Here is a 12757-nt window from a genome sequence, read left to right as displayed (position 1 = left end):
GGCAAATCCCTTCAATATAGCTCATGGCTGGCTTTCTCTCCCTACATTTGGTCTGCCAGAAATACACAAATGTCCTTTGCCTGTACATACGCTAGTGCAGGCATTTTCTAACCAGCCTTCTGTCCTTGCCCACCATGAACACACTCTGCAAGCCACAATTCTCCACCTTGAAAGTTCAATAGTCTAAATCGGAGACCAGTTCCTCAGGTTCATCCAAACTGCAGAGGATGAATGTCAAATGCTCAGGTCAGTGACCCTCTCAAAAAGTTTGAAGTGAGGAATAAAATTTCTTTGGTGAAAGGCAGAGACACAATCATTTGCAGAGAAGTTGTTTTTTGTTTTGTTTTGTTTGTTTGTTTTGTTTTGTTTGAGACAGAGTTTTGCTCTGTCACCCAGGCTGGAGTGCAGTGGCGCCATCTCTGCTCACTGCAATCTCCACCTCCCGGATTCAGGCGATTCTCCTGCCTCAGCCTCCTGAGTAGCTGGGATCACAGGTGCATGCCCCCACACCTGGCTAATTTTTGTATTTTTAGTAGAGATGGAGTTTTGCCATGTTGGCCAGGCTAGTCTCAAACTCCTGGCCTCAAGCGATCCACCCATCTTGGCCTCCCAAAGTGCTGGGATTACAGGCATGAGCCACCGCACCTGGCAGCAGAGCAGATTTTTTAAATGAGAGTGAAGAATGGCTAGGAGCAGAGGCAGGATGTTTACCCATCAGAAACTGTGGTCCTGGCTGGGCATGGTGGCTCACACATGTAATCCCAGCACTTTGGGAGGGCCCAGGTGGGTGGATCACTTGAGGCCAGGAGTTCAAGACCAGCCTGGCCAACATAGCAAACAAAAAATTAGCTGGGCGTGGTGGTGCATGCCTGTAGTCCCAGCTGCTTGGGAGGCTGAGGCAGGAGAATCGCTTGAATCTGGGAGGTGAAGGTTGCAGTGAGCGGCGGTCACCCCACTGCACTCCAGCCTGGGTAACAGAGACTCTGTCTCAAAAAAAGAAAAAAGAAAAGAGAAAAGAGAAGGGAAGGGAAGGGAAGGAAAAGGCAGGGGAAGTGGGAGGGGGAGGGGGAAGGGGGAGGGAAGGGGAGGGGAGGGGAGGGGAGGGGAGGGGAGGGGAGGGGAGGGGAGGGAAGGGAAGGGAAGGGAAGGGAAGGGAAGGGAAGGGAAGGGAAGGGAAGGGAAGGGAAGGGAAGGGAAGGGAAGGGAGTGGTCCTACTATTCCTATTCCTATTTTACAGATTAGTAGGTAGGGCTCCAGAGGTGAAGCTGCTGTTCCCAGGCCATTGAGTTAGCGACTAGCAAAGCCAGAATCAAACCTAGAATCTCTCTGACTCCCAAACTTATGCTTATTATTGTTGTCAATGTGTTACATGTATTAATTATCATTTACATAACACATAAAGGTGAGCCTTTGAAGACAGTTCTGGTATAAGAGAAGCAAAACTCCTGACAGCTCACTCTGGCATAGCAGCACAATTCCACTCAAGTGGAAAGAAACAATTCTCAGTGTAGTGCCTGTAGGTAAAGTAATTAAAGTTGCTAGCTTTCCTCATGGGATTGTTGCGTGTCCAGGTGTATATACTGTGTTTTGTTAACAGATTGTCTATAGGCAGTTTGCTTACTTTCCATTTTTCTTACATCCCCATTATATTTCAATGTATTTGTCTCATGCCTACTTCTAAATCAAAACAGAAAAATTTCCCCTTTATTTTAAACTCCCCAAAAAAGGAAAGATGATAATGACTTGGGAAGGTGGGTCAGAAGAGAGAAAAGAGAAATGGAAGAGTAATTTGGGGGTGTTTATTCAAATTGGGTTTTTAATACAGCATTTATGCTTACAGAGATATAAAAAATACAGACATTAAGACTCTCAAGTAGCACTGACCAATAGTTTTATATTGCTTGCCAGATAGGTACTTTTACATTTTCTGGTATTAAAGAAGTAAAAAGAAATAGATGAAATTAATTTTAATGTACATTTGCTTAAGCCAGTATAACCAAATATTACCATTTCAATAGGTGATCAATACCAAAAAAAGTATTAATGAGATACTTTACATTCTTTTTTATCTTCAGTATTCTAAATCTTGTGTGAATTTCATACCTATACCATCATTTCAGACCAGCCACATTTTGCATTTCATGTATGCAATAGTCACATGTGGCTAGTGGCTAACATGTTGGTCAGCTCAGCTCTGAAGGAATGTTTCAGTCCTAATGAACCTGTAACATGTGGGTTTTTAATAATGACACTGAGGAAGCAGGTGGGTTTCCAAATTAAAAGAACAAAAAGTAATGACAGAAGTAAAACAAGAGAGGCTGTGTGTGGTGGCTCATGCCTGTAATCCCAGCACTTTGGGAGGCCAAGGAGGGCGGATCACCTGAGGTTAGGAGTTCAAGTCCAGCCCGGCCAACATGGTGAAACCCCGTCTCTACTGAAAATACAAAACTTAGTCAGGTATGGGGGTGCACACCTGTAATTCCAGCTACTCATTAGGCTGAGGCAGGAGAACTGCTTGAACCCGGGAGGTGGAGGTTGCAATGAGCCGAGATTGCGCCACTGCATTCCCGCCTGGGTGACAGAGCAAGACTCCATTTCAAAAAAAGAAAGAAATAAATAAAACAAGAGAAAGGTAAAGAAGAAAAGTAAAGGCAACTTGGGGAAGACAGTAGATACCCAAACAGTGCTTAGTTGCTAGACAGATGGAAACTTCAGGGGGCAAAGGACACAGAAAGGAAAATCTGGGGATTTAAAATCAGAGGGTAAAATAAGAGAGTTTTAAATTACAAAGCCGAACCAATGACAAGGCTAAAGATTTAACCTCATTCACTAGCAAAATGGTGTCTGCTACATTTACAAAATGAAGGCTGACTGGTTGGTTTCTGGAGAACGAAGGGGGCCACACAAACTTAGGTCACTGTTAATATCATGGTCACATACTCAGCTTTTCAGCACCAGAATCTTATTTTGTCAGCTGACCCAGAGTGGTTCAATCTCTACAAGGCTCAACACACTCAAGAGTTCTGGCTTCTCAATACAAAGAAATACCCCTTTCCAGAGACTGAAAAACATATATCCTCTTATTCAGATCACCTCCTTTCTAAAGTTTGTTGTAAAACAAAGTTAGCAAGCAGAAATTTGGTGACCATGAAATTAGAGCAAAAGGAATTGGATAATCTCCTACGAGCAGTCACACAGACTGTCCCACAGTAGAATTCATCTCCCTTATGACATGAATAGGATAGATGTCACACTGTGGCCCATCGGTCCCATTGGTGGATATACAGACAGGTTATTATTGTTCAATGCCTTTATTATTTACTTCATACCAGAGGTTCTTGGTGGTCCACAAATATTTGTTTGGATTGCTTTGGGCTTGCACAGTCACTTCTGGACTCTCTAGGAAAGTCTGCCTACACTGGGTCCACCTTTTCCAATGACACCAATCTGTTGGAGCTGAGAAGGGTCTGCCCCTTTGAGTGTGCTATGTTGTCACAGCCCCAACTGACCAGCTTCACTCAGAGGGCTGGCTAACCAGTTGAGATCCTACATCTTGAAAGAGTGAGATCCCTACTATACGGAGACCTCTGCTAAGCAGGCCTGGCTTCAGACTTTCCTGTTGGGAAAGGAGAGAGAGAGAGATTACTTTTCAGTTATACAATAATTGATTATGTTACTACTTTTTTATTGTTAACCAGTTAAGGATCCAGTCTTTATCATCAGTTAGTTTCAGATTGTAACTAACCTGTTAGGATGGGTTACATCTGATGAAAATTATAATCTGATAACTATTCATTATGAGATATTTCGGTTCTCAGAGAAATATTTTTCTCCAAGTTCTAGGGACATCCTCTTATACTTTCTTATCTATCTGCTGCAGTCACACAGAGCAAGAAAGCGTGGAAAATATATTAGATGGCAGAATCTGTATAGTAAACAAAATATCTTGATGGATTAAAATGATGAACTAAATGTAACAGGGTCAAATTTTATATAAGAATAAATTCTTTTTTCCCCTCTCTACTGGATATATCTAAGACTGTTTGGTACCTACTGTTTGCTAAATCTAAAGTTTAAATTCTAAGCAGTAAAAAATAAACGCTGCCAACACTTTGCTCTCAGTAGCATTTGGGGAATAGTGCACAAATCAATTACATGGATCCTTTATATAATAGTATTTTTTATTAGTATTGTTAAAACATTGCCCAACATTCTCACCACTATGCCTCTTCCCAGGGCTGTTAACAAATAGGAGAGAAAGGAAAACACCTCTTGGCTACAGTTGTGGTATGCGGAACTGCAGAGTGAATATAAAAATTGTCTCGGAGAGGATGTTGCAAACCAAGATGGAGAAATGTGTCAGATCAGCAAAGGAGCCTGGAGAAGTTAGGGTCTCCTGACCCCTGGAACCTCAGCCACCTGGTCCAGTTTTGCTAACAGGAAGCAGGGGCCAGCTGGGAGTGTGGTGATGAGCAAAATAGACATTAAGTTCAAGTTGGGGCATCTTGAGTACGAAGAGACAAAGGGAGTCCTTTCTGAGCAGTAGTAAATGGAGGCTATAGAGGCTGTGACAGCTAGACTGAAACAGAAGATGAGAGTAGAGACTGGCTGAGTAAGGATGAGAGCAGAGAGGAAGAAGAGCTGAGAACCAAGTTGTCATCAAGACGGATCAAGGCTTGTGTGTAGGAGGCAGGCAATTGGCTTGCCCTGCAGAATGGTTGGCTTTTTGCCCATTGCCAAGGTACATAATGAACGCGAGGACCCCCCATTAGATGACAGCACCAACAGTGGATGGGGGGAGGTAGGGCAGAATAGCTGAATGGCATAAGATCAAAGGAGAATGGTTTTTAACAAGACAGTGAAATATAATGTGGGGGAGTGAAGCAGACACTGTGGCAGACACTGCTTGTTCTCTGCCCGATATCTTTATCTTTATCCCTTTTCTTCCTTAGTAACGAAATCTTGAATTTGTTCTGGGGTACAATATGCCAGCTAAATACACCTACCTTCCTAGATTACCTTACATCTAGGGATGGCCATGTGGCACACTTCTAGCCAATGAGACATAAGCTTAACTTCTCTAGGGATTCTGAGAATGTTTTTCTTTCCTGATGCAGGCAACACCCTTTAGCTCCTTTTCTCTTCTCGCCTGGAATTTAGTCATGAAGTCTAGACTACAATGGCCATATTGTGACCAAGAAGTTAGAAATATGGTATGAGGAAAAGGCAAGACAACCCCAGAGATGAGCCCTGATTTCAAGTGGCCACTGAACCAATACCAACAGCCATCTACAACCAGGTATCTGGTTATGTGAAGAATGAGCCCTACTTAATGAAACCAGTGTTAGTGACTTTTCTATTATTCATAATGTAATATATTCCCCATAGATATTAACCCACCTGGTTGAACTGAAATACAAAGGTAAGAGGGGTGCAGGAAAAGCAGTGCTCCAAGGGAAGAGGCCAGCTTTCCCAAGGTAGGAGGAAGGAGGTGAGAGTGTTAGAAAAGAAACTGTATAGGTATGGCAATTTGCTAGCTATGGGGAAAGGATTCAAGAGGCCAGAGTGGAAGAGAATGAAAAGGAGATAAGGGATGGAAGCCTGGGGCAGAAAGACGTGCAAAGCTTCATGAGGACGATAGCGTGGAAGTGGATCAGTTGACTATGTGGGCATAGGGGTAGAGGCTACACTTTGAACCTAGACCAGCATGAACAGAAGTGAGATCCATGGAAGATTTGGTCTCCAAGTCTCTTTGAGGTCAGAAACCTTGTTATCTTCGCAGAGGGATTACCAGGTTGCACCAGTGGAACCATCATCTTTCCACATCCTTGGTTAGGAAAAAAAGGAGAAATGTCATCCCTTTCAGCTCTCTAGAGAATCCATGTGCAGGTTTAAAGCTGAATAATGAAACCTGGCAATTTATCTGGATTCCCTTTAAATCTCTCTGGGGTCAGAAATAGAAGCAACCTGAAGGAGGCGGGGAGGAACTGAAGGCCACAGGGCCTGCTAGGGCAGGATGAGGGAGGCATTTTGCTCTCTTTTCTGGTAATTGGCCCACAAGGGCTGTTGTCTCCCCAAGGAGGCTAGTGTTCCCCTCCCTAAGTCCTTAGTCCCAAAGCAGAGTGACAGCCGTGAGCCTGCTAGATCATCCATGTTGCCATAGCAACAGGCTTGCCCTTGGAGCAGTGGGTTCATGACAAAATGATCAGCCCTCTCTTAAAGGTTGTTGCTGTGTGTTGGACCAAGAATGCAGGCCAGGTGGGTGGGTATGAAGGCCTGGAGCCAAGAATATTCAGGGTAGGAATTTTTTCCCAAGTGGTGAAAAGCCTGAAGAGTCTGAGAATGAGTACAAGCTAAATCTAACCAGCCAGGGGCCAAAACAGAAGAAGCACTATTCAACCATCAAGCCTGAGGGACATCCCCATGATGAATTTGGTGGGGGAAAGTACGGAGTGGTAGTGAGAGTAAGAGAAGAAGCCAGAGCAAGAGGGGTTGGAGTGTCTGTGATTCTTTTCTTAGGCTGCTGGCTACATGTTGTGTTAGATGAGCTGCATTAATAATATTCAGGGACTCTGGGTGGACACTGGCTGACCCCAACCCTGTTAAGCCATGGATAGCTTGTTTCCAACCCTCATTCTTGCTCTAAGTCAATGAAAACCAATTCTGTTGGTGTTCTAGGACTCCATCTTCACCTCTTCTTCAGTCCTTTCTCTTGGATGAAGTTCTCAGCATCTCTCTGTGGGCCTGTGAAAGTGCGGATACCATCCAGGATACCTGACCAGTTTCTACAACCAGACATATTCCTAGATTCTCCTGTAGTTCTTAACTAGGATCAATCCACAGCTCTCTAGGCTGGGACCTGGTGGAATGTAAGCTCCATCAGGGAAGGGTCTTTTACTGAGCGTTTATCACTGTATTCCTAACACATAGCACAAGCCTGTCACATAGCAGGAGTTTAATAAATATTTATTAAATGAATAATTGAACAAGAGTGCTTGACAACTTTCATAACTTTCACCTACTCCAGGTTATTGGACTCTTCTGTGGGCACTTAACCATAGTCATAGTCCTGCTTCTTCCAGGATGGACCCTCTTAGATCCAAGACCTTCTACCCACTTGTCACTGAAAGCTTCTATGACCAGAGATTCCTCATTATCCACCTGGGTGGGCCCATGGACACCAGTGCCAGCCTTGACTAGGACAAAGATTTCAAATGTCCCTTTAGGCACTGCAGTGATAGCTTTTTTATACCCTTCTTGGTGACAACAGCATTAGTCCCCTGACCCAGAACTTGGGTCTCAGCCTACTTCCTTCTTGTCATCCTTCACAGGCAGCTCTATGAGAGTTGTGGTGATATTGTAGACGCCCTTGAGGGTCTCCCTGCTACAACAGCCTAGGAGTAAAAAGTAGGATTATAATAATGTAATTTCACTCTGATTCACAATTGAAAACATGTAAATCTTCTCTCCTAATATGCTAATATATATATACATGTCTGTTTTTAATTTTCTTATAGCATTTACTGCTATTTGAAATTGCCTATATATTTGTTATCTGGCTTTTTGTCAGTTTCTGTCATAGGAATATAAGCTTTTTGGTGTCAAGAATGTTGTCTGTTTCATTTACTACCTGTCCAGTAACTATTAAATGGATGAATTAATTACTCTGGATTAATCAGGGTCAGGGTAGGCCCTCTGTGTACCTAGGAACCCAGATCTCTGACTGCATTGTGAAATGCTTATTTTCCTCTTCACTTGTTCCATCTTTCCTTGGGCACAGGTCCAGTCATTGCCTCTAACGTCAACACACTGCCAAGACACTTGGTGCTTCCTCTGCTATCAAAGCCCCCAGTGTCATCTTACATCTACCCATACCAGAGAACCCAGTTCTCTGACTGCATTGTGGAAGGCCCATTTTCCTCTTCACTTGCTCCATCTTTCCATAGGCACAGGTGCAGCCACTGCCTCAGGCATTCACCACACTGCCAAGGCCCTGGTGCTTCCTTTGCTATTAAAGCCCTCAGTGTCATCTTCCACCCATATCTGCCCAAACCACACTGCACCAAGGAGCCTGTTGAGCTGGGCCCAAGCCTGCATTTCCAACCCTGATAACATACCAGTGTGGAGATGTCCAGCTCCCCACTGAAGAGGAGGCAATCTCTTTCCCCTACCCTTTGTATTACCCACATCCCAAAACAAGGCTTCCTTGAACGTCCAGATATTTTTTGTAAAAATAACCTTTTGATCTTTGCAGTAAACTCCTTTGCTTAGGAATCTGGCATTAGCCCATCTCAGTAACAAGCACAATGCTATACCCAGGCATCGGTGTTAGATTAAGCTCGCATGCAGTGTTTTTCCCAATCTTTTATCCCCAAGGTCCCTCAATTTCTCTTTAGAGTCCCTAGGAAAGCCTCTGCCACTGCCTGTTCCCATAGCATGACTTGATGTGTCTAAATTCTCCTATGAGCAGCAGCCAGAATGGCCACAACACAAGGAGTTTGGATTTTACCCTGTGGTGACAAGGAACAAATGGAAGCCTTGGATAAGGAGATTTTCTTGGAGAACCAGTGCCTTAGAGATAGATATGTATTGTTGATATGTAGGATGATACATGGGAGAAGACTCTAGGCTGCCTTTGGTCATTGTAATTCACCCTCCCAAAGATCCTGACTGAACAGAATTCCACTTCCTTCCCATATTTCTGTGAGTCAATAGTTCTCTCTGAATATTGCTGGCTTTCTGTTTTCTTGGCACATGGTTGGTATGATTATTAATTTTTTTTTTTTTTTTGAGACAGAGTCTCACTCAGCCACCCAGGCTTGAGTGCAGTGGCTCCATCTTGGCTCACTGCAACCACTGTCTCCCAGGTTCAAGCGATTCTCCCGCCTCAGTCTCCTGAATACCTGGGATCACAGGTGCCCGCCACCACGCCCGGCTAATTTTTGTACTTTTAGTAGAAATGGGGTTTCACCATGTTGGCCAGGCTGATCTTGAACTCCTGACCTCAAGTGATCCTCTGGACTCAGCCTCCCAATGTGCTGGTATTACAGGTGAGAGCCACTGCACCTGGCCCATTATACTATTCTTTTAACTTTTCTGTAAGTTTAGAATTTTTTAACTTATAAGTTAGAAAAAGAAAGGGTTTCCTGTATATTAGATAGTTTTCTGTGGGCAAAGAACTTAGAACAATGCTTGGCTTAAGCATGCAAATAAATGTTACTTGTTCTGATCATTCTAAGTGCTTTACATGTAGTATCATGTTTAACCCTCACAATGGCCTTGTGAAGTTCTGATCGTAGGATGCTGTCAGTCTCTCGCATCCCTTTTACCAGGCAAGTGCACACCTCTCCAAGTTACCATAAAGTATTGGTTGCTAAAGGTTTACAGCTCCCTTTTCTCTGGAGAATTGCCTTCAGTCTAACAGAAACCGCCCCGGAGATTATACCACACACCAACCCTGGGGGACGGTCAGCAACCAATGACTAAGGAACAAAGAGGCATAAAAAGCTAGCCCTAGTGGTGGCCTGTAATCTCAGCACTTTGGAAGGCCGAGGTGGGTGGATCATCTGAGGTCAGGAGTTCAAGACCAGCCTGGCCAACATGGTGAAACCCTGTCTGTACTAAAAATACAAAAATTAGCTGGGCGTGGTGGCACATGCCTGTAATTCCAGCTCCTTGGGAGGCTGAGGCATGAGAAGCACTTGAACCCGGGAGATGGAGGTTGTAGTGAGCTGAGATCACACCACTGCACTCCAGCCTGGCAACAGAGTGAGACTCCTTCTCAAAAAAAAAAAAAAAAAAAAAAAAATTAGCCAGGCGTCCAGGCATCTTGGTGGGTGTCTATAATCCCAGCTACCCAGGAGGCTGAGGCAGGAGAATCACTTGAGCCTGGGAGGCAGAGGTTGCAGTGAGCTGAGATCGCACCACTGCACTCCAGCCTGGGCGACAAAGCAAGTTTCTGTCTAAAAAAAAAAAAAAAGCTAGCCCTGGCCTTAATGCAGGACTCACTTTGTGGTCCAATTCCAGAGCTCCCTGAGGATCAAAGTGAAGCTGGACCCAGTTGAGACCACATCTTTACTTAGCTCTCCACTTTGTCCTATCCCTCTTCCCTTCCTGCCTTTGGACTGTGAGTCAAAAAATAAATCACATGTCCGCTAAACCTTTATCAGGTTCTGCTACAAGGGAACCTGACCAGGAGGAAACAGAGGCAAGGAGGGCTAAGAAACTTTCCCAGGAGCCTCCCCAGACCACACAGTAGTAGATTTGAACCCAGGTAGTCTGAGCTCATGGTCTTTACCACTGCTCTTCATACGTAAAGAACTTGTTATGTGCCAATGAAAGTTATGTCTCAATAAACCTCAGCTCTAGCCTCCTTGCTCAGTTGCTGAGCATTGAAAGTCAATCAGACATGATTCTTGTGCTTCTCATAGCCTGCAAACTCATGGACGAGACAAACATAGTCACCAGTGGCAGCCAGTGGTTACAGGCATAAACACACGCACACACACACACACACACACACACACAAACCCACATACATACACATATATAAGCCTACACACACATACATATACAAACCTATACAAACACATTAACACACACGGAAACCTATACACATATGCACATTCACACATGCATATGCACCCAAGCCATACCCTTACAGTGGAATCCCCTACAGCTGCTAAAAAAGAAAGTCATAGGCTGCATGTTCTAGGAATGTATTTGTTAATGGAATAAAAAAAATAAACAATATTTTGGAAATTTCAATCATATACATATATTACATATATTTCTTTTTAAAAATCAGTGGAATTGTTTTTTGTCTGTTTCCTTCATGTTTCTATATAATAGGATATTTAAAAACACATAAACAGATAAAACCTGAGGCACATCGATATTTGTAGAGGATATTTATGTAGCTCAGTAAATAATAATGGTACATGTGTGAAGCAACCTATAGCCTTATGAAAAGAAAATAATATAAAACTGCAGGTCATTTAGGGAAGTAATAATATGAACATTAAATCTTTAGATATTCATTTGTTCTAAGATTATTAAGCTATGTTTTCTAGTTGCTGAATTCCCACAGAATCTGTGTTCTAAGGCCTTCTCCTCTAATGTCTCAGAGCTGCTATGTTTTGTTTTCTGATTCTGCAACGTCTGTTGATGGTCACAATGTTGGGCCCCTGAGGCCTGAACTGATGTGAAATGAACACTGAACCTGAAGTCCTAGGTTGCAATTACTGCTTTGTAATTTACTGACATCGACTTTGGGCAAGTCACCTCTTTGAGCTTCATTTGTCTCATCTATATATAAATGGAGGAAATAAAATCTACTTCACAAGATTTTTGTGAAAATTAAATGGGGTAACATTTGGATGGCACCTAGCCCAGCACCTAAGAAGATGGAAATAAAGGAATGAATAAATCCATAGCCAATAAACAGCAAAGGGTGTGCACTTACTGCAAGAGTCCCTGATTATTAATGCAACCCAGCAACCACAAGCAGCCATGAAAAGAAATCACAGACAGTCCTTCACCTAGATTGACCAATTAACGTTTTGCCACATTTATTGTATATCTACTGTTGTTATTATTACTAAGGGTGGGGATGGTGGCAGTGGTAGTAGTAATAGAAGTAGTTTTGGTGGAAACATTTGAGAATAAGTTCCAGACATCAATCCTTTATCCATTAGATACACTGGCATGAGTTTCCTAATAGCAAAGACATTCTTTTACATATCCACAGTAAAATAATCAAATTCAAAATTTAACAGTGATCTATAGTTTATATTCAAATTTTCTTTCTTTCTTTCTTTCTTTTTTTTTGAGATGAAGTCTCGCTCTGTCACCCAGGCTGGAGTGCAATGACATGATCTCAGCTCATTGCAACCTCCGCCTCCCAGGTTCAAGTGATTCTCCAGCCTTAGCCTCCCGAGTAGCTGGGATTACAGGCACCTGCCACCGCGCCCAGCTAATTTTTTATACTTTTAGTAGAGACGGGGTTTCACTAAGTTGGTCAGGCTGGTCTTGAACCCCTGGCCTCAGGTGATCCACCCACCTCAACCTCCCAAAGTGCTGAGATTACAGGCGTGAACCACCGCACCCAGCCTATATTCAAATTTTCTAACTGTCCCAATGTTGTCCTTTATAGCTTTTATTTCTTCAATCCAGGATCACATATAGTTGTTGTTTGTATTCTTTTCCTTTTTTGTCCTATATGAGAAGTCTTTGTCTATTCCAATATCACAAAGATTTTATTCTGTTTTCTGTTAGAAGTTTTACAGTCCAAGTGTGGTGGCTCATGCCTGTTATCTCAGAACTATGGGAGGCCAAATTGGGAGAATCGCTTGAGCCCATGCATTCAAGACCAGCCTGGGCAACATAGCGAGACTCTGTCTCTGCAAAAAAATTAAACATTAGCCAGCCATGGTGGCACATGCCTGTGGTCCCAGCTACTTGGGAGGCTGAGGTGAGAAGATGGCTTGAGCCCAGGGTTTGAAGCTGCAGTGAGTAGTGATGGTGCCTCTGCACTCCAGCCTGGGTGACACAATGAGACCTCATCTCAGAAAAGAAAAAAAGTTTTATAATTTTAGCCTGTATTTTTAAGTCTATAAATAGATATTTAACTTAATAGAGTAAAATCTATTAATATCGTTGTTTATTTGATGCTCATATTTTCCCAGTTTTCCCAGTAGAAGCTGCTTCAAGGCAGTTTCCATAGCCTTTTGACAGATTCCCTTAATTTTTTTAGCA

General features: G+C 43.1%; 2 long non-coding RNA genes across 2 annotated transcripts in view; one reads left to right on the top strand and one right to left on the bottom strand.

The window, feature by feature from the left end:
- CLRN1-AS1 (CLRN1 antisense RNA 1) overlaps nt 1780-12757 on the bottom strand; it is a 108049-nt gene continuing 97071 nt past the window's right edge. Inside the window, exons 5-6 of the long non-coding RNA NR_024066.2 lie at nt 7254-7395; nt 1780-3617 (exon numbers count right to left, since the gene is read on the bottom strand). This is a non-coding gene — a long non-coding RNA (CLRN1 antisense RNA 1). The remainder of the gene's footprint in view (nt 3618-7253; nt 7396-12757) is intronic.
- Nucleotides 5136-6987, top strand: LOC124909448 (uncharacterized). The gene is made up of 2 exons (XR_007096133.1): nt 5136-5300; nt 6680-6987. It is a non-coding gene; the product is annotated as an uncharacterized LOC124909448 (long non-coding RNA).

The sequence above is a fragment of the Homo sapiens genome, chromosome 3 (genome assembly GCF_000001405.40).
Source record: "Homo sapiens chromosome 3, GRCh38.p14 Primary Assembly".
Taxonomy (NCBI): domain Eukaryota; kingdom Metazoa; phylum Chordata; class Mammalia; order Primates; family Hominidae; genus Homo; species Homo sapiens.
Note: the sequence above shows the minus strand (reverse complement) of the source record. Positions and strands in the feature narration are given on the sequence as shown.